The sequence below is a fragment of the Homo sapiens genome, chromosome 15 (assembly GCF_000001405.40).
Source record: "Homo sapiens chromosome 15, GRCh38.p14 Primary Assembly".
In the NCBI taxonomy this organism is placed as follows: domain Eukaryota; kingdom Metazoa; phylum Chordata; class Mammalia; order Primates; family Hominidae; genus Homo; species Homo sapiens.
Genome location: NC_000015.10, coordinates 75,369,043 through 75,391,287, shown reverse-complemented (window position 1 = coordinate 75,391,287; position 22,245 = coordinate 75,369,043). Strand labels below are relative to the sequence as shown.

Below are 22,245 nucleotides of genomic sequence, written 5' to 3'. Positions count from 1 at the left end.
TGAGGCTTACATAATGTTGTCTTGTCTGATAATGCCAACCCTCACACTTACCACAGCTTGTTTGGACAAATCTGTGGTTTGGACTCAAAACTTTATTCTGGCATAAAAGCAGTTTTCATAGCAGTGGTATATTTTGGAGTCTATAGCCTATACCTATTCTATGGAGCTAAAGAATGTGATAGTCTGTGATGAAACTCAAGCCAGTTGCCTCTTTTAAACAGTATTTGTCCTGTTTTGCCTGTTTTTTAATGAATTCGTCAGACTTCAGATAAATGGAGACAACTTGGTTTTGCTCCTAGCCTTTTTTCTCCAGCACAAACACAACTAGCAAGTAACCAATTAGTCAGTGACAAATAGTTCGTTTTGTAACTTTTTTCATTTTAGTCAACTTTTTGTTGAAGTGCAATGTATAGGCCGGGTGCAGTGGCTTACACCTGTAATCCCAGCACTTTGGGAGGCCGATGTGGGAGGATCACTTGAGGCCAGGAGTTTGAGACCAGCCTGGTTAATAAGTGAGACCCCATCTCTACAAAAAAATACATATAAGGTACGGCATGTATATATAGAAAAGTATACAAATCAGAATTGTGCAGCTCAGTGAATTTTTACAGACTAGACGTACCTATGTTCAAGAAACGAAACATAACCAGTACTCTGATAACCAGTCCTTTTTCCACTTTGTTGATTTCTAACACTAGAGATTAGATTTGTCTATTTTTGAACTTTATATAAATGGGTCTTTAGTAAGCTAAAGGCAGCACTCTTTAATACTCCTTGTGCCCTCTGCTAGTTGCCAAATGTCTTTAACAACTGATGAGATTTATTCTAGCTAGTGATTGAAATGATTCATGTGCAGCAACTACAGATGATTTAATGCAATTTGTGAAATACAACGTAGCGAATCCATTTTTAAACAAAAGGACTTTGACAAATGCAGATTACTTCATTATTCATAAAGGATTTAATTTGCACTCCTATTTTTGTGTTCCCAAGAGGTTTCCCAGTGCTGGAGTATGGCTGTGTCTGCCTTTCCTCATCTGTACTTTATGCTTCATTGAAATAGCTTTATGAGCAAGTGACCCATGTGAGGAATGCTCTTGTGCAGGCTGGGAGAGTAGGTTCCTCTCTCAGCAGGGGAGCCAACAGCTCTTTGAAGGACTGGCTTCCCTAGGATATTTTCCTCTCTGAAAGTGGCCCAGCAGTACCATAAAGAAGTATCTTTCTAGCATGGTAGTCAGAATATTAGAAGCCACTGTTAAAGTTGCAGAGTCACTCTGATAGTGCTGGTGATTGTAGTCACCTGTCGGAATTCATCTCTGTTTACATTGGAATGAGTGAGTATATTTTGAATACCTAGTGTTCATACTTTCAAATGCCATTTAGGCCAGCTGTGGGATTTGCCCTGTACTCTATCCCTAGTCTTTTCTTAGCAAGGTAAGGCCTCACCAATCCCATCTCTCCCACAGTGGATGTTGATGTAGAAGATTATTACCCAGCTTTCCTGGACATGGTGCGGAGCCTGCTGGATGGCAACATAGACTCATCACAGTATGAAGATTCACTGAGAGAGATGTTCACCATTCATGCCTACATTGCCTTTACCATGGACAAACTGATCCAGAGCATTGTCAGACAGGTGAGGGCATGGAGGAGGCTAGGGTGAGTAAGGGAAGAAATCCTTACCTAGAGATGGGCCACGCAAGGAAAAGGAAAGGCAACTTTTTCATATAACAGTGTTTATGAACGTAGGGTTCTGAAGAGAGGAGGGGAGGTTAATGTGATGCCTGATTTCTCATGTTAACAAAGTTGCAGTGTATGAGCCTGCCTACCCCATATCCTTTCTTGCTGGCCACCTGTAGAGTGCAGTGGTCCTGACCCCAGCTTCCTGCACAACTTGTCTATCTCTTACCTTGTCTGCCATGGGTAAGCACACAGTGTGGAACATTGCGTCTTCCATAGGTGTTGGTAAGTTTTTTTTTTTTTTCCTTAAATAGAGACAGGGTGTCACTGTTTTGCCCAGGCTGGTCTTGAACTTCTGGTCTCAAGTGATCCTCCTGTCTTGGCCTCTTAAAGCGCTGGGATTATAGACACGAGCCACTGCGCCTGGTCAAGGTGTTGGTAACTCTTATGTACTTGCATTGTTTAATATTTGAAATTCTTTTTATAAGAAAGGGTTCACATAACATCTTTTATAATACTCTGCCCACCTCACTCATCTGCGGTTCCCTCTAAGTTAGGTTTCTGGTTGGTTTTGTGTGTTCTTCCTGTGGCACCCTGGGAACTTGTAAACATGTTGTTCTTTACAACAATGATATAAAAAATAGCTTGTAACAGATAGTCACATTTCTACTTCTTGGACTTGAGTTCTGAACTCCCAGAGAGATTGTTGGTTAACTGCTTTTTTCTTTTTCTGGAGACCCAGCTCTACTGCTGATTGACTGCAAGTCCCCAGCAGGGCTTCATTTTTCCTTTTCAGCATCCTGTTCTGTGGCTCCCTTGGCCCTTTTTGCCCATATGCCAAAGAGCTGAAAATTGATGTGGGCTGTGTGAAGACTGGCAAATACCTTAAAGTTCTTAGTGATGATTCCAGCTTTCTCCTTCTTATAGACGTACTATATGGGCATTATTGGTCCTGTCAGCTGGGTGGCTGATTTGAGTTTTTCAGAACTGTCTCCCTTCTTGGGGGCTAAGAGCTTCCTGGAGAAGAGGTTGAGCTTGGAGTCTTAACTCCTTCAGGTGCTGAACATTGGCCCACAGGGACATGGTGTACTAATGCCACCCTCTTGTGGATGCTGGTCACCCTTAACTCTTCTAAGCTGAAGCCCCTGCCAGCTTGTACTTTGGTGTGGTACCTCACTGTGGGGCAGCTTACCATGGGTCAGATGGGTCCAGATGCAGGGTGCAGGTCAATGTGGTATACTTTTGCTTGCATCTGCAGATCTTCTGGGCTGGCTGGTTGAACCACGTGGCCATGGGCCACTGCGATTCCTTGTGGAAGTAGGGCTTTAGGATCATGCTGTTCCACCTGGGTACCGTGGCTACCTACAGCCCTCTTCCATAGAATAGCTCAGCAGAAAGGCGGTGAAGTACTTAAGTGAAAACTTGTAAAAAGCAATTTCTAATTCTAGAATCCACACTGCCACTGTAGAAGGAAAGAGCTTGTTGCTTAATGTTCTCTTGGGCTAAAATATTGAATTCTTTGCAAAGTACCCATGCTTTTGCCTTGGTTTTGGAAGGGTGCATGCCTCTGTACTCCTCCCACAGTATCTACACAGGATTGAGGAAGAGCCCTTCATATAAATGAACCTTAACATCTGGGGGAAAGTTGTCAGATAGTTGTTTCCAATAAGTTGAAGAAGTTGTTAGGCCTTCCCATAAGAGGTCTGGATGGTAACTGGCAGAAATCATTAGATGGATACATAGTCACCCATAGTCATACTTTTTCAGACTAATCTTCCTTAACTTCCCTGAAATTTATATAAAATACAGACTCCAGTTACCCTGTGCTTATGTTGCTGATTACAGGCTTGCTGCTGCTTCAGCTAGGAACGAAGTCTTTCATACCACCAGCACAGCTTAAAAAAAAAATCCAATAAAACTAACTTTTAATAATTCTGAGGTTGGTTTTCGAAACAATAGTTACAATTATTTACTGTATCTGGTTATGATTTTGAATCAGTAATAAATACTATCTCCACCCACCCCCCGCTTTTTTTTTTTTTTTTTAATGGAAACAGGTTTCATCCAGAAAACCCCAAAACAGTGACTTTTTTTTTTTTTTTTTTTCCAACCCAGGGTCTCACTCTATTGCCCAGGCTGGAGTGCAGTGGTGTGATCAGCTCACTGTAGCCTTGACCTCCTACCTCAGCCTCCCAAGTAGCTGGGACCAAAGGGGCCACCACACCGGCTAATTTATTGTATTTTTTGTAGAGATGGAGTTTTGCCATGTTGTCCAGGCTGGCCTCAAACTTATGGGCTCAAGCAATTCACCTACTTCAGCCTCCCAAAGCGCTGCGATTACGGGCATGAGCCACTGTGCCCAGCCTACAGTGACTTTTTAAAACATTTTCAAGCTTCTCAACTCCTTTAACTGGAGGTATCTCTTCTCTCATTCTCCTCATATTTGGTGTTCCCTCAGATTCCACTGCTGACTGAATGTACAACATATATTTCAAAGTCAAGGCTGGTCATGGTGGCTCATGCCTCTAATACCAGCACTTTGGGAGTCCAAGGCGGGCAGATATATTGAGTCCAGGAGTTGGAGACCAGCCTGGGCAACATGGGGAAACACTATTTGTATTAAAAATACAAAAAATTAGCTGGGCATGGTGGCACATGCCTGTAGTCCCAGCTACTCAGGAGGCTAAGGTGGGAGGATCATCTGAACCCAGGAAGTTGAGGCTGCAGTGAGCCGTGATTGCACCACTGCATTCCAGCCAAGTGAAGCCATTACATTTATCTTACCTATTGTAGGCTGGCTTAAGAGGGATTTGTATTAAGAATACAATAGGCAACCTCACAGACATCCAAGTACAGAACTCAAAATAGGACCACACCATGGAAGGATTGGGCTGGGAGGTGATTTTTCTCTCCTGCATGCCTTCACTCTGGACTTCTGCTCCATGCTTGTGCTTTGCTCTGCAGATGAACATACGGCATGTGCTCCAGGCTCCTCCAGCCTCTGAGGCTTTGGCTTGCCCTCCCAGTACCCCTGGTCCCAGTGTTACTAGACCTTTCCATACAGATGCTCCTCCTCAAAAAATCTATTGAACACCCTCTCTGTCATCTCCAATTAGCAAGATAGAGAATCTGATCTGCTTAGCAGTGGGGGTGGGAGTTCCGTAGCTGTCTCTGGATTTGTAGTGCTGTCTTTTCTGAAGACTCGAGGAGGGGCCAGATATCCAAAAAGAGAGTATGGGTGGGGAATCAGTAATACAGTCTACTTCAACAAGAAAGTATAAAGTAGAGGCGGTGGCTCACGCCTGTAATCCCAGCAGTTTGGGAGGCCAAGGCGGGTGGATCACTTGAGCTCAGAAGTTTGAGATCAGACTGGGCAACATGGCAAAACCCCGTCTCTTCTGAAAATACAAAAAAGTTAGCTGGGCGTGGTGGCACATGCCTGTAGACCCAGCTACTTAAGAGGCTGAGGTATGGGAGGGTTGCTTGAGCCCAGGAAGTTGAGGCTGCACTGAGCCAAGATCACGATGCCACTGCACTCCAGCCTGGGCGACAGAGCGAGACTCTGTCTCAAAAAGAAAGTAGAAAGTGGAAGCATCTGTATGTATGATTGAAGTCATGCTTTCCATCTGTTTTTTTCCACCTTTTCTTTTTTCTCCTAAAACACTGTATCTTAATCTTCCTCATGATATCAGGTACTCATAAGCATTATTTTAATGGTTGTATCAGAATCCTTTATCTGGACTCATTGTGATTTATTTATCCATCTGTAGTTGCTGGAGATACTGCCCTTTCTGCCACACTCAGTCACCGTTCTGACCTTTCACTGTGTCCAGTTATCTACTAATACACATACTGGTCATTTAGGACTTAAGAATAAATAGTTATCATGGTTCCTAACACTTAAAAAGAATGTGTCTTCCTAAAAATAGAATGGCTTGGTGGTTATGATCATCTTAAAGTTTTTTAAACAGACAAATCAATATTGAAATTAACGTTTTGCTTTCTTCTTGTATCTATTTTTCACTTCTGTCATTTTGATGATAAAGTTTCATTTGGAAGGATTTTTATTTCAAAATAGAAATAGCATGACATGAGAATGGGAACTCTGAAACGTTCAACTTTCTAGTCATTAGTTTCCTAAGATTGTCACAAAAGCTACTGATAGTCAATCATGATTGGCCTGTATGGAAAGTGAGTTAACTTTATGTACAACTTAAGCCCTATACTTTCTATCAGATACAGAAAAATAGGTGATGTGTTTGGAAAAGTATTGGGCTAGGAGTCAGGAACCTTGACTTTTAGTCCCAACCCTCCTTCTTCAGCTGAGCACCCCTGGGCAATAATTCAGCAGCTATTTCTTAAATACTTAATGAGTTTCAGGCTTTGTAGTTGGCCTGGGAATATAGACATAGATACTGCATTCATGATTCTCCAAGGCTCCCTTCCTCACCCCAGCTCACGGTGAGCTTTGCAGTGGTGCAGTCTCGGCTCACTGCAACCTCCATCTCCCAGGTTCAAGCGATTCTCCTGCCCCAGCCTCCCAAGTAGCTGGGATTACAGGCTCCTGCCACCACGCCCGGCTATTTGTGTATTTTTAGTAGAGATGGGGTTTCGCCATGTTAGCCAGGCTGGTTTTGAACACCTGACCTCAGGTGATTGGCCCACCTCGGCCTCCCAAAGTGCTGGGATTACAGGCGTGAGCCACCTTTCTGATGCATTGTGTAAATTTGTCTCCTAACTGGCCCCAACTCTCTGTCTAGCTTGCCTTCCCAGGGCAGTTGTGAAGATCAAATGAGAAAGAATATGTATGAGAGCCAATTGTAAATGATTTTAAAATGCAATAAAGATATGACCTATAGAAAATTATTTAAAGATGCTTAGAATTTTAAATAGTACGATTATCCTGAGTTCTCTATGGTTCTTATTTTAAATAGATAGGAAAGTTTTACCATGGACCACTGATATGGTTGAAAATCCTGGCTTGATTATTCTCCAAGAAAATGATACAGTGGTTTGTGTGATTAATTTTCTAAAATTGCCAGCACCCCCCCACCCCCCCAAAAAAAGAAAAACCTTTTTGGAGTTGAATGACTACATCAAAGGAACGTTGACTGTATAATGGAGAAATGTTTTCTGTGTTCACTAAAAGCTTGCCTTTGTTTGCTTCCAGCTGCAGCATATCGTGAGTGATGAGATCTGTGTGCAGGTGACTGACCTTTACCTGGCAGAAAATAATAATGGGGCCACCGGAGGCCAGCTGAACACACAGAACTCAAGGAGCCTCCTGGAGTCAACGTATCAGCGGAAAGCTGAGCAGCTAATGTCAGATGAGAATTGCTTTAAGGTGAGAGTTGGTCAGGTAGTCGAAGACCTTGCTGGTGACAATGTCAGTTGTTAGGATTCTCTGAACCAGAAGTTAAAGCCGGGGTACTTTGACCTGTGATTCTACTCCTGGACCTTTTAATGAGTTCACCAGAGAACTACAAAGTGGAAGTAATTGTCTTCCTGGACAATCTACTTTGTTTCTTTCCTGCCTTTAAAGAAAAAAAAAAAACTAGTTATATATGATTTTTACAATTTTGTATTCTTTTTCTCTGAACATTTTTCATAGTATGCTTTGTAAATATTATTGTTAGAAAAATGTTGGTACATGAAATCCATGGTCATGATCATTATAGAAAAGAAAACATAGGCCCAGCACACATGGCTCACACTTGTAATCTCAGCACACTGGGAGGCCGAGGTGGGCGGATCACTTGAGACCAGCTTGGGCAACATGGCAAAACCCCATCTCTGCAAGAAATACAAGAATACAAAAATTAGCCCGGCATGGTAGCGTGCACCTGTAGTCTCAGCTACTCAGGAGAATGAGGTAGAAGGATTGCCCCCGTCTCTACTAAAAATACAAAAAATTAGCCGGGCGTAGTGGTGGGCGTCTGTAGTCCCAGCTACTCTGGAGGCTGAGTCAGGAGAATGGCGTGAACCCGGGAGGCGGAGCTTGCAGTAAGCTGAGATCGCGCCACTGCACTCCAGCCTGGGAGACAGAGCGAGACTCCGTCTCAAAAAAAAAAAAAAAGGATTGCTTGAGCCTGGGAGGTCGAGGCTGCAGTGAGGCCTGATCGCGTCACTGCACCCCAGCCTGGGTGACAGAGCAAGACTCTGTCCCAAAAAAATGAAAATAAAATGCAGATAACCAAAAAAAGTCACCTTAGAATTCTTTCCTGAAATTATCATTGATGACATCTCTATGATTCTAAACTTCTCTATGCTTGAGTATATATTTTGAAAGAGTTTATACTGGACAAAATGGTCTTTAACTTTTTTTTTTTTTTTTTTAAGACAGGGACACACACTGTTGCCCAGGCTGGAGTGCAGTGGCGCAATCTTGGTTCACTGCAACCTCTGCCTCCTGAGTTCAAGTGATTCTCACACGTCAGCCACCCTAGTAGCTGGGATTACAGTCATGTACCACTATGTCCAGCTAATTTTTTTTTTTTTCCCGAGATGGAGGCTCACTCTTGTTGTCCAGGTTGTCCAGGTTGTCCAGGCTTGGAGTGCAGTGGTGCTATTTCAGCTCACTGCAACCTCCGCCTCCTGGGTTCAAGCAGTTCTCCTGCCTCGGCCTCCTGAGTAGCTGGGATTACAGACACGTGCCACCATGGCCAGCTTGTGTGGGTGTGTGTGTTTAGTAGAGACAGGGTTTCACCATGTTGGTCAGGCTGGTCTTGAACTCCTGAGCTCAGGTGATCTGCCCTCCTTGGCCTCCCAAAGTGCTGGGATTACAGGCATGAGCCACTGCACCCGGTCTAATTTTTGTATTTTTAGTAGAGATGTGGTTTCACCATGTTGGGCAGGCTTGTCTCAAACTCCTGGCCTCAAGTGATCTGCCCGCCTTAGCCTCCCAAAGTGCTGGGATTACAGGTGTGAGCCACTGCATCTGACCGGAAATGGTCTTTAATGTATTTTTGCTCAATTAACAACACTTCTGGGTCTTTATTGTCTTTTTTATGGCTATTTGATATTCACTTTTTAGAGAATTAATGCCTGTATTGGTGGACATTTAGGTTGTTTCCAATTTTTCACCATTATAATGGATAATTATAAAAGCAAATAGTTGGAAACATCCTAGACGTCCAACCCACTATGGGGACTGGTTAATGACATCCTGTTATGAATACTGGAGACAGATTTTGCAATTCTTAAATTATAAATTGTGAAAATGCAGGGTCTGCCCCCACCCCGAAATCTATTTTGGAAATAACTGTATTTGTGTGTGTATATATTATGTTATTGTCAGGTTGTAAGCTTTACTAGCAGAGAGCAATTTTTAAAGCTTTAAAAGAACACTGAGCTAGATCTAGCTTCTGGCTCTGCATGTATATTGATTAGTGGTGTGCCTTGAGAAACCAGAACTCTTCTGAATTTCAGTTTTGTCTCTGTGTAAAATGAAGAAGGTTGAAATAAAAAATTCTCAGGTTTCCTTCCAGGCTCTGACCTTCTCCATGTGATTCTGATAGTTACCTCCTCTATTACGTCCTAGAAGTGGGATTACCAATGGACAGAGCATTGACATTTTGTGGTTCTGGCTACATGTGCCATATTTCTTTCTGACAAAATATTTGTTTTGTAAAACATTCTTACTGACATTGATTATTATTTTAGCGAATTCTAGAAGTTTGAAACATGAAATAGTACCTTTTGCTTTAATATATTTCATTTTACTTGTAGTAAGTGTAGACTTTTGCCTTTATCACTGGCCACCCAAGATCTAGTATCTTCCTCATCTCTTCAGTTGGAGCAAAGTTTACTAAGTTTATTGCCTCTGCACCTCTCATTCCTTGAGAAGATAGATTACAGCTACAGAGACGGTCTTTTGTTTACGCTTAGGTTTCTTATTTGCAGCTTATGTTTATTCAGAGCCAAGGCCAGGTCCAGCTGACTATTGAGCTTCTGGACACAGAAGAGGAGAATTCGGATGACCCTGTGGAAGCAGAGGTATGAGCAAGTACATCACAGACCCCAGGTGCCAAGCAGAGCTGGCGTGCCTTGAGAGTCTGTCCAGTGACCCTGTCTGCCAAAAGGCCAAGGCACCTCAGGCCTGTTTAAGGGTCAGGACCTGGATGCTTAAAGTACAAGTCAATCCAGCCATGTCTTCAGCTGAAGAGACGGGCTGCCTGGTTATAGATGTTAACCTCATCTTGCACTTAGTAAAGCTATCTCCTCTAAGGAAGTCTTATGGTTGGCAGCTTTCCTGTTTTTTCCTAAAGTATAAAAAACAACAAATGAGGTCTTTCTCATGTCATCTTGATTCTTTGTGTCATGTTTACTTTTTATTGGACTGATAAAGTCCAGAGTTTTCAACCCCTGAATAGACAGGTGTGATTATCATAGTTGGTTATGGCAGATAATGTACACAGGAGATGCAGGCCATATGTATGATGTTGGGGGGGGTCGTGTGGGATGACTTGTTTTGGTGGGAATGTTGGCTTGTTGGCAGATCTTTTTTTTTTTTTTTTTTTTTAAGCGATGTCAGAAATCTAGATTGTAATGTGAAGGAAACTTTCACACATTTGCCACTATAAATTTTGTTCTTTAACAAAATGCTCTGTGGGGAAATGAAACTTGTCAGTGAGCCAGCTTCTACCTGTTTATGACTTCTCATAACCTTAGCACCTCAGAAACTTAGCAGTATTGCTGGCTAACAGAATTTTTAATCCGTGTTCCAATACCTACTAACAATCATGTCTTTATAGAAAGGGACTTTTTTGATCTTGAAATTTATGAATTCGGGGCATTGTAATCATAGAATTTACTAGAGTGCCCAATGCATTAGGAGCTGTTTTTGTGATTTCCTTCCACCTGTATTTTGTGTTTGCCATCTTAGCGCTGGTCAGACTACGTGGAGCGATACATGAATTCAGATACTACCTCGCCTGAGCTTCGTGAACATCTAGCACAGAAACCAGTATTTCTCCCCAGGTGAGTGAGCCATGTCATCTGTCAGCAGTCCATACTGTGCATGATTGAGGAATGGAGAGTTAAATGACTTTCACGTTCTTGGCCTTCACATATTTTATTCATTTGTTCTATCTGCTGGGGATGCTAATTCAAGGTTTTATATGGCTGTCACAACATGAGCTTACCTGGAGCATGTGTCAAAGCATCTGGGAGGTGAGAGTTGTAGAGAATCAACAATAACCTCCGTACTTTGGATGGGAATGTGTGTCAGAGTCTCCATGGTTCGATGGAAGAGGACTCACAGGACTCTGCATATAGTCAGACTGATTTAGTACAGCGAGAAGATGCAAAGCAGAATCAGCAAAGCGAAAAGGTGCCTGTGGCAAAGCTGGAGGAAGCCAGGCTCAAGCTTCCTAGAATCCTCTCCCAGTGGAGTCACACAGGACACTCTTAATTCTTCCAACAATGAATGTGACAACACATGCAAAATGCTGTCTACCAGGGCAGCTCATTAGAGACTCTGTGCCAGGATTTTTATTGAGATGTAGTCATCTAGGCACTGTATGCCTAGCATGTACCAAAATCCCAAACTCTCAGAAAGAAAGCACATTTTCAGCATAAGCTATAGAGTTTGTACAAATAGTTTAGGTACAGTGAGACACTTATATGAGTTAAGGAATGGTAGAACATTGCCCAAAATCCAAGATCCCAGCCCCCAGCCAAGGGCCAACTTTTATAAGCAGGCTTTTCAAAGAATAGCAATCTTAGGCCTGCTACATTAACTCTTTTCTGCACAGAATTTTAAAAATGTTCCCTCTGTGTATAGGCAGATTGTGATACTGATCCTCCAAGTATATGAAAACAGTTTAAGAAGTATAAAATGGGTAGAATGGCTTTCTTCCTTCCTAAAAGTTTTGAATTGAAATCTTATGTCTTAGGTTTCCAAGAAAGTATCATCCCAGTGTTATTAGACTTATTGAGTCCTAATGAGAACATGGGAAAAGAGATACCAGCAAAAAGGGCCCTGCCGGGTTCTCCATTCATTGAATCATTTAACACATTTGAGCAGTTGCTCTGTGTCAGGTTCCTCTCAACAAAACAGGCTCCATGCTAATAACATACTACAATAAACCTGTCATCATGTGTCTCTCACCATGATATGAGGAAGGAGGCACATTTATGTACTGTGAGGAAAAGGAAATTGATATAATCGTTCTGGTGGCAGGGTAGTTGAAGTGTATGGAATCTTCCCTCCAGAATTTCAGTTTCTAATGATTTGTCTGACAGCTAAGGGGCTCATCTTATTGGCCTTGAGACCCCTTACACTCTTAGAGCATGAGTACTCCAAAAAGCTTTTGTTTATATGGATTATACTAGTAATATTTACCAAGTTAGAAATAAAAACAAAGAAATGTTTTCAATCTTTAATTCATTTGAAAAATAACAATATTGGGCTGGGCGCAGTGGCTCACGCCTGTAACTCCAGCACTTTGGGAGGCCGAGGCTGTGGATCACGAGATCAGGAGATCGAGACCATCCTGGCTAACACAGTGAAACCCTGTCTCTACTAAAAATACAGAAAATTAGCTGGGCATGGTGGCAGGCGCCTGTAGTCCAAGCTACTCGGGAGGCTGAGGCAGGAGAATTGCTTGAACCGGAAGGCGGAGGTTGCAGTGAGTGGAGATCGCACCACGGCACTCCAGCCTGGGTGACCGAGTGAGACTCTGCCTCAAAAATAAAATATATATATATATATATATATCCCTATTATATTTTCTTAAATAATATTTTTTAATGAAAAGCTAATTCAAAACAAAAATTAGTGAATAGAGTGGCATTGCTTATATTTTATAAATTTGTTTAGTGTCTGGCTTACCAGAAGAACAGCTGGATTCTCATGTCTGCTTCTATATTCAATCTGTTGCATTATGTATGTTGTTTGATTGAAATATGTGAAGAAAATCTGGCCTCACGCAAATGTGTAGCTGGAAAAAGGAATATTTTCAGATCCTTCAGATAACTGGATATTCTTTGATATGACAACAAAACTACCAGTGATAGTTTTTGTTTTTGTTTTTCTTTTTTGAGACGGAATTTCGCTCTTGTTGCCCAGGCTGGAGTGCAATGGTGTGATCTCAGCTCACTGCAACCCCTGCCTCCCAGGTTTAAGTGATTCTCCTGCCTCAGCCTCCCGAGTAGCTGGGATTACAGGCATGTGCCACCACGCCCGGCTGATTCTGTATTTTTAGTAGAGATGGGATTTCTCCATGTTGGTCTGGCTGGTCTTGAACTCCTGACCTCAGGTGATCCTCCCACCTCGGCCTCCCAAAGTGCTGTGATTACGGGTGTGAGCCACTGCACCCGGCCCCAGTGATAGTTTCTTAAAGGTTAGTTGGAATATCAATTTATACATCAGTGGGCTTTTCATGCAGTTGTAAAAATCCATTGATTTATTTTGTATCATGAATGAATCTTTTTTTCCTCTATGATTTTGTAACTTTACGCAATTGGCTATTTGGAAAATAAGTTATACACACCTACTAAATGTTGATATATTTTACAGTGTCTCCAAAAGAAATCACATTGATTTAATATCGCTATCGCTAGGTCATCAAACACATCTTTAAGTATTGGGAAGCTGTCAAGCTCAGGGTGGCTGATACCAGTTCACCAAAATTCATAGTTTTGCTTGAAAATTCCAGTCTTACCATTGGCAACATTGTTTTCCTTGAAGTGATAGGCTCCCTTGTTCATTTTTGAGAAAACATCTGCCAAATACTTGGCTGAGATTGACTATATTTAGTCAGTTGTTCTTTCGGGTAAAAATGATGATCCACTTACAACTCAAGCAATTGCTCAAGTGCTTTTCTATAAGAATACCATTGTACTTTAGCACACAAAGGTGCTTTATGTGTAGTTCCCATTTTATCACACAGCATGTTAAAAAGATGTAAATTGAGGGGTTGGGATTTAATAGAAAATGTTACTGCTTCATCAGAAACTTTTTTTTTCTTTTTTTTTTTTTGAGGCAGAGTCTCACTCTGTTGCCCAAGCTGGAGTGCAGTGGCGCGATCTTGGCTTACTGCAGCCTCCACCAGCCAGGTTCAAGTGATTCTCCTGTCTCACCCTCCCGAATAGCTGGGATTACAGGTGCGCGCCACCACTCCCGGCTAATTTTTGTACTTTTATTAGAGATGAGGTCTCCCCATGTTGGCCAGGCTAGTCTCAAACTCCTGACCTCAAGTGATCTGCCTGCCTCAGCCTCCCAGAGTGCTGGGATTACAAGCATGAGCCACTGTGACTGGCCCATCAGAAACATTCTTAAGTGAAACTGGCTTTTTTCACTTAATGTCATTGTATGGTCAGTGTGAAGTTCAAAGACTTGAATTGCAGTCGCATGAAGGTGCAAAATCATGGAAGTAAAATGGATTCATTGATGGTACAAGATAAACCAACAGAGTTTGACAACTGTATGAAAAGCTCAGTGATGTACAAATTGATATTGGAATTTGGTAACAATTTGTTCGATATTGCAAATACAGTTTGGCGCCACCACCAGCATTTTTGTTCACCATTACTTTAATGGTGCCAGTGCAGATGTCAACACAGCAAAAAAGGGAAATAATGTTTTAGTATTATTATGAGAATAGTTTTGATCTCACAGATCTCCTGAAAGGGTCCTGGGACCCTTTGGACAAAGAACTGCTGTCTACAGAAATACTTGTATACAAAGATTCTCACTGAAGCAATATTTTGGGCTGGTTGGTTTTTTTTTTTTTTTTTTTTTTTTAAGACAGTGTCTGGCTCTGTGTCCCAGGCTATAGTACAGTGGTGGGATCTTGGCTTTCTGCAACCTCCGCCTTCTGGGCTCAAACGATCTTCCCACCTCAGCCTCCCAAGTAGCTGAGACTCTAGGCACACGTCACCACACCTGCCTAATTTTTTTTTTTTTTTTGTAGAGAAGGGGTTTTTGCCATGTTGCCCAGGCTAGTCTCAAACTCCTGAGCTCAAGCAATCCACCTGCCTCCCAAAGTGCTGGGATTATAGGCATGAGCCACAGTGGCCAACCTGAAGCAGTGTTTTTAATAGCAAGTTATGAGAAACAATATAATTGTCTAGCTGATAACTTTTTTCACTGGATGTTGAGATTTAGCAAGCCTACCACCCCTCAGGGCATCCATTCATGTGAATTATCTTCTTTCTTGTGTATGTAGAATGGCACTAGTTTATATCATCTGGGGGAATTTTTAAAAATAGTCATTCAAATAAATTTTTGTTATGTGGTTCAGATGAGGAACCTCAGTTGAAAGAAACTGTTAAGGAATGGTAAATTGGGGTACATTTTTCTGCAGCAGTTAAAGAGAATAAGACAAATCTATCATGAAATGAAAAAATATTCATGACAGTAAGTGAAAAGTTGAGGACAAAATATATAGTATGATCCTATTTTGTCTTAAAAACAAATCCCAAAGCAGAACTGTAGCTGGTAATTACATGTGTAAATTTACAGACAGAGGCCTAGAAGTTTCTCATTAAAACTCTTAACTGGCTACATCTGCTAAGTCAAGTAGGGGATGGGTGAAGATTTCTGCTTTTTATTCTGTGTACCTTTGCAGTTGAAATTTTTTTTGCAGTGAAACAACTGAACATTTGTGTATGTATTTAACAAATTGGGATGAGTACTATGCAAGCATATAATAAAGAAAACTCACTTTGGGGAAGTCACGGGAATCTGCATCTGGACGAGCTCTCATCCTCCGGGGCTTTTCTGCAATAGGAATCTACGGCGGATCCGGAAGTGTCAACGTGGTCGAGAGCAGCAGGAAAAGGAAGGGAAGGAAGGAAACAGCAAGAAGACCATGGAGAATGTGGATAGTCTGGATAAGCTGGAGTGTAGATTCAAGCTGAATTCCTACAAGATGGTGTATGTGATCAAATCAGAGGACTATATGTATCGGAGGACCGCCCTGCTCCGGGCTCATCAGGTGAGAACCAGTAACTGAAATTTCTGTACACATCTCCCACCCTAGCTAGGACCAGGGGAGGCCCAGAGTCTTCTGATTGTTTTTCTTTGTTTATGCAAACCTGTTCTTGGAGCTGAGACTTAACTGAGGAAGTACGTATGTTGGTTGCTAAGGATGCTGTGACAAAGTACCACAGACTGTGGCTTAAATGACAAAAGTTGTGGAGACTAGAAGTCCAAAGTCAAGTGTCAGCAGTGTTGGTTCCTTTTGAGGACTGTGAGGGACAATCTCTTCTAGGCCTCTCCTAGCTTCTGGTTCTTTGCTGGCAATCTTTGGCATTCCTGGGCTTGTAGATCCCTGCCTTCATCTTCATATGGTGTTCCTACCTGTGTGTGTGTGTCTGCCTCCAGATGAGGTCACATTCGGAAGTACTGGGGGCTAGGACTTCAATGTATGATTTTTTGTTTGTTTGTTTGAGACAGAGTCTCACCTGACACAGCCTCTCAAAGTGCTAGCATTACAGGCGTGAGCCACCATGCCCGGCCAACATAAGAATTTTAAGGAGAATACAGTTCAGCCTGTAAGAGCACGTAAATACCCGGTGGCACCTTTTTGGTGAATTTACTCCCAGTATTTACATCTCAAGTAGTATCTGATCTTTTGCTTGTATGAATCCTACCTGTCTTTACATTCTGTCTCAATTGTGAAACCTTCCTGGTGCAGCTGCGTATAGGGTGTTATGCCAGGCCCTGGGACTACAGCCATGAAGTAGAGCAGATGAAGTAATGCGATGATATGCACTACCAGGGAAACAAATCAGGTGAAGTGATCAAGGGTAACTAGCATACAGGCCTTGCTTTCACTGGAGGAGGCTTCTCAAAGGAGGTGATGCTTGAGGCCTGAATAATGACAAGGAATTAGCCTGGTGAAGAGTAGAGGATGGGTGTTTTCTAGACAAAAGAGCTAGTACAAGGCTGGGAGGAAAGGACTTGGCATATTCAAGAAATTACAAACACCATTGTGGCTCAAGGTTGCATGAAGTTAGAAGGGTAGGCAGAGGCCACATCACTTTGTCTAATGATAGGCCATGGTTTGTAATTTGTTTGAGATGCACTGGGACATTTGACAAAGATAGCTTGGAGTTCTGTGAGGACAGTGGAGATGGGTATATATAAAGTTGGAAGAGCAGAGACCACTCAAAAGGGTGCCCTTGTCCAAATGAGATGTGGGGGCCACCCGTACTACTAGGGTGGCAGTGGAATTGCAAGAATTACATTGTAGACTTTATGCATTTATTTTTGAGACAGAGTTTCGCTGTGTCTCAAACCATGCCTGGCTGATTTTTTGTATTTTTAGTAGAGATGGGATTTCACCATGTTGGCCAGGCTGGTCTCGAACCTGACCTCAAGTGATCCACCCTCCTCAGCCTCCCAAAGTACTGGGATTACAGGCGTGAGCCACCACGCCCAGATGTAGATATTATTTAGATATTTAATTGACAAGAGATGGTGTTGGATCAAATGTGGGGGTAAGCAAAAGAAGGACATCAAGGATGGTGCCTGATTAGTTTTGGGGTTTTTTGGTTTGTTTTGTTTTGCTTAAGTGGAGATTTTAGGGGCTCACCTGTTAATAGGAAAGGGTTATGAGGTTTGGGAGACAGATGAAGTGCTGTTTTAAGTTTGAAAGGACTACAAAACTTTCAAATGGGAGATGTTGAGCAGACAGTTTAATGTATAATTAACCCTTTAACGACAAGGGGTTTGGGGCACTGGCCCCTGCACAGTCAAATCTGTGTATAATTTTTGACTCCCCCAAAATGGAACTACTGATAGTCTACTACTGACTGGAAGGCTTACTGATAAACAACATATTTTGTATGTTGTATGTATTATATATACTGCATTCTTTTTTTCTTTCTTTTTTTTTTTTTTAATGAAAATAGACACGGGGTCTCCTTACGTTGCCCAGGGCTGGTCTCAAACTCAAGGGTTCAAACAACCCACCCATTTCAGCCTCCTAAAGTGCTGGGATTACAGGCGTGAGCCACTGTGCCCAGCCTATACTGTATATTCTTACAATAAAGTAAGTTAGAGAAAAGAAAATGTTAAGTCATAAGCAAGAGAAGATACATTTACTCTTCATTAAGTGGTTGTGGCTCATCATAAAGGGTCCTTATTCTCATCTTGTTGAGTAGGCTGAAGAGGGAGGAGGAAGGGAGGGGTTGTTTTTGCTGTCTCAGGGTTGGCAGAGGTGGAAGAAAACTTGCCTATCAGTGGCCCTGCGCTGTTCAAAGCTGTGTTGTTCAAGAGTCTGCTCTACTTCTCTCATGGCACTGAGGGAAGCGCAGTGGCATGATTTCAGCTCACTGCATCCTCCACTTCCCGGGTTCAAGAGATTCTCTTGTCTCAGCCTCTCGAGTAGCTGGGATTACGGGCGTGCACCACCACACCTGGCTCATTTTTTTTGCTATGTGTTGTGTGTCTGCCTGTCTCTGATTCACATTATTTGGGACACTGGGCAACACCAGTTTTGTCTTTGTATCTCTTCTAGTATCCTTGCATGTGGACACCAATAAATTTTTATTGAATGTGTTGGTGGGAACAGAACCCCCTGCAGAACATCTGCCAAGCCTGGACTCTGCTTCCCAGGGTGGGGTAACACAGTGGAGGGAGAGTGGTTTTAAGCCCTTTGCTTTGCACTGTCTGGCTTAGAGGTGGATCTCCATGCTGATAGAAGTGATCAATGGCTCACTGGGTCCTACCCAGGATACATTAGAATCAGCTGGATTGCTGGTTTAAAATGCACATTGGTAAACCAAGGAAATGTGGGTTTTGGGGGTTTTGGGTTTTTTTTTTTTTTTTTTTTGGAGACAGGGTTTGGCTCTGTCATCTAGGCTGGGGTGCGGTGGTGCGATCTTGGCTCACTGCAGCCTCCACCTCCTGGCTCAAGCGATCCTCCCACTTCAGCCTACCAAGTAGCTGGGACTACAGGTGTGTGCCACCACGCCCAGTTATTATTTGTATTTTTGTAGAGATGGGGTTTTGCCATGTTGCCCAGGCTGGTCTCAAACTCCTGAGCTCAAGCGAACTGCCTGCCTCAGCCTCCCAGAGTACTAGGATTACAGGCATGAGTCACTGCACCTGGTCAGAAATGTGTATTTTTTAACACATTCCCTCGGTTATACTAACGCATGCTAAAATTGAGAACAGCGAGCTTTTTCAGCCCAGAGCCTGTGTTCGCATTTCTTTGGAGGCTTTATGGATTTTCATGCCCTCACATGTTCTATGTTCTTACCTCTTTAACTTCTCTTTAAACAGAGAATCCTTTTTTTTTTCTTTTAAGAAAAAAACAGTGGTATCTAAGACTTGAGCCCACATCTTTCCTTTGCTCCTTTAGAAGAAAATTAGGCTTTGTATTTGAAGGGCTCTTTTTTGGTTCTGCTTCATTTAATAAAATTTTTTTTTTCTGTTTTGCAGTCCCATGAGCGTGTAAGCAAGCGTCTACATCAGAGATTCCAGGCCTGGGTAGATAAATGGACCAAGGAGCATGTGCCCCGTGAAATGGCAGCAGAGACCAGCAAGTGGCTCATGGGTGAGGGGCTGGAGGGCCTGGTGCCCTGTACCACCACCTGTGATACAGAGACCCTGCATTTTGTGAGCATTAACAAGTATCGTGTCAAATACGGCACAGTATTCAAAGCCCCTTAACTGCAAAGCCAGAGCAGATAACTTGGGGTGTGTGTGGGGATGTGTGTGTGGGCCTATGCACTCACACACTGAAGAAACAAGGAAGATGCCTTTCAAGCCTCACTGGGCCTCTCTGGGACATGGCCACCTGACCTGTGTGTGGCTGGTGCAGCCTGGCACCAAGTGGGCTACCTGTTAGGAACATGAATACCTTACAAAGCTGAAGCTGGAACTTTTCCCAAAGGGTTTTGGGTATAGCCTGCCCTGGAGGGGAAGGAAGTCCATGCAAGCAAAGACATGCAGTTTGCTTGCACACACCAGCAGAGCTAAGACTGGAGTCTCCTGTGGCCTAACTTTCAATGAGGGAACCGGATGCTGTTCACACTTTGACTGGATGGAGATGCATTTACAAAACAGACTGGAGAAGGACTTAATACTCAGATGGATTGGAACTATCATGGTCACTGCTCCTCTCCCCTCCCCACAAAAGGAAAAAAAAGCTGGATTTGATTTTTTTTTTCTGGTCACTCGAGCACATCTAAGATCACCCATTAGGTTTTATCTGGGACCTGCAGTTTGGCTTTGGGATTGATCATCTTGTGGATTTTATTCCTGACGATTCCCTTGCTGCCTACCCTTTTCTCTCCTCTGGTTCTCAACCTCAACGAGTTCAAATCAGTTGTCCTTTTTAGCTCCCGTGGAACTGTTTTGTATCTGCCTCTTTACTAGTCTACCTTAGTGCCATCCACCAGCTTTACTCTCTGACACACACACGCACACACACACACAATTTTAACTTGTTTTTTTGTACATAATGTACATACTGTCAATTTTTTATTAAAAGAAATATGCTTTGATGTGCTAGCATAACTGCTCTAGCTTCTTGTGTACCATAGTACTGTGGCTTCAGATTTAGTACCTATGAACAGATGTACAAGACATTTATTACACTTTTTACCAAAGGGAGTTACCATTGTAGTACTTTTGTGTAAAACTTGTCTTCCCCTTTGCCCCCAACTTTTTTTTTTTTTTTTTTGTAAATAAATAAAGCTTGGTTCTTACTTAAGGAATAAACTCTCAACCCACGTCCCTTGTCCTCACCAGAAAATACTGTGAAGCAGGGATTTTGACTTCAGTTCCTTATCCAGGGTAGAAACAGGATTTTGCTTAAAATACTTGTTACTTGTCCCAAATCAAAATATTCCAAAATCTTAGAATACTTAAGTCTTTTAGTACGTGTTTTTTTCCCTTGTTCAAATAATCTGAAAATATTTTATATTTGGGTAAGTTGTCAAGCTATGTAGTTTGTATTTCTATATATTTTTTCTTATTCACATTGGTGATGGATGGGGGTGAGCAACTTAAATACCAAACCAGTGTTTGAAAAAAAAGTGTGCATAAGGCATGTGGTATACCTTATAAATGGAGTTGGGAGGGAGAGAATTTGAAATGGGATACCTATTTTTTTAATTACATAAATTTAAACTAGCAGACATTTAAACATGAATGATTAGGATTTTTCTATGTGGTTAACCTGGACTTTCTGAACAAAGACCAACTGAGCCCCTCCCAGTACTCTGGTGGATTTTTCTTCAGCAACCATTACGCAAGTCTTAGTTGTAACCAGCAATGTTCTGTGTGTTTTATGTTTGCTTTTTAGTTAAAAATCACCACCACCACCAAAAAGAAAAACAAAATTTTTTGGCTCCTGGATTTTCAAAACACATGGTAGACCTCTCTGATTTTAGGCTTTTATTGTTTAAAGACAGTGTCTCGCTTTATGACCCACACTGGAGTGCAGTGCCACGATCATAGCTCACTGCAGGCTTGACCTCCCAGGCTCAAGCAGTCCTCCCACCTCGGCCTCCTGAGTAGCTGCATGCCACCACGCCCAGCTAATTTTTTAACTTTTTGTAGAGACAGGGTCTTGCTATGCTGCCCAGGTTGGTCTCAAACTCCTGGCCTCAAGCTGTCCTCCCACCTCGGCCTCGCAAAGTGCTGAGATTACAGGTGTGAGCCACCCTGGCCTGATTTTAGGCTTTTTTTGTACTGGGGAGAAGAGACTGTGAGCCAAAGTGTAGGGTGCCAAAAAGAGCTTTGTGGGATGAGATTTTAGGGCAAAGCTGGGGCAGTGTCTGACTTGGCGGTGGTCATGTGTACTGATTTAGGGGAAAGATCTTGAGGTTTTCTCAAATAATTCACCTATCCCCGTGTTCCCTCAAGAAAGGTCATGTTGACCTGGAACCATAGGGGAAATTGGTGGGGTGTGATCAGGGTCAGCCCCAGCTGTTGCTGCCCCTGCAGTGTTTTGTCCAGAGCACTTGCCTGCAGGTCAGGATAGGATTTCAAGGCCAGTTCAGGAGAAAGTCCCAACCCACCAGTGCAACCAACAAAAGAGTAAGTTTTACCTACAGCCTGGGTTTTCACAAGTAGCATTTTTATTCCTCCTGCTGTCTGACATCTGAGCTCCAAGCTCTAAACCCAACCTGTATTATATGCAGCAGCAGGTTATCTTTGTTTTAAATCACATTTGTTATTCTGTACTTAGTCACCTTTCCGTGTGATCTGCATTTGAAATGTTGTAAACTTGGTCAGTATTTCCATTAAAATATCAGGGCTAATCTTGTGTATTTTTTTTTGTTCCTAATGATTTTATAGACAAAGACTCTTGGCAACCCCAGGAGAAAAAAAATAAAGCTGTCAGTGGAGTACTAGGGATGAGAATGAAACTGGAGGTCTGTTTCTGGTATTATGGCTTCCCGGGACTCTACAGTCCTGTATGGTGAAATACATTTTTCCATTGGGATCGTCAATGCCATGACTGTTCTGCCACCTCAAACTCCAGAGTTTCTGGTGATGTGCAAGAGTTAGCAATATACATTCAGTAAAGCGTGTAATCGAGTAAGTCGTAGTAACTTGGGCGTAAAGCTCTACCACCCTGCTCACTAACACCCTGA

The 22,245-nt window shown here is 42.5% G+C and overlaps 1 protein-coding gene and 1 pseudogene across 13 annotated transcripts in view; one reads left to right on the top strand and one right to left on the bottom strand.

Annotated features, from left to right (window-relative positions):
- The window catches only part of SIN3A (SIN3 transcription regulator family member A), an 86,437-nt gene extending 64,528 nt beyond the window's left edge, over positions 1 to 21,909 (top strand). For all 13 annotated transcript variants that reach the window (NM_001437463.1, NM_001145357.2, XM_047432362.1 and 10 more), the window contains 6 exons: positions 1,467 to 1,636; positions 6,851 to 7,024; positions 9,583 to 9,675; positions 10,565 to 10,659; positions 15,416 to 15,623; positions 19,079 to 21,909. In NM_001437463.1, coding sequence (NP_001424392.1) covers positions 1,467 to 1,636; positions 6,851 to 7,024; positions 9,583 to 9,675; positions 10,565 to 10,659; positions 15,416 to 15,623; positions 19,079 to 19,309 — 971 coding nt within the window. In that variant the 3' untranslated portion in view covers positions 19,310 to 21,909. The remainder of the gene's footprint in view (positions 1 to 1,466; positions 1,637 to 6,850; positions 7,025 to 9,582; positions 9,676 to 10,564; positions 10,660 to 15,415; positions 15,624 to 19,078) is intronic.
- On the bottom strand, positions 2,412 to 3,052 carry RPL13P4 (ribosomal protein L13 pseudogene 4; annotated as a pseudogene).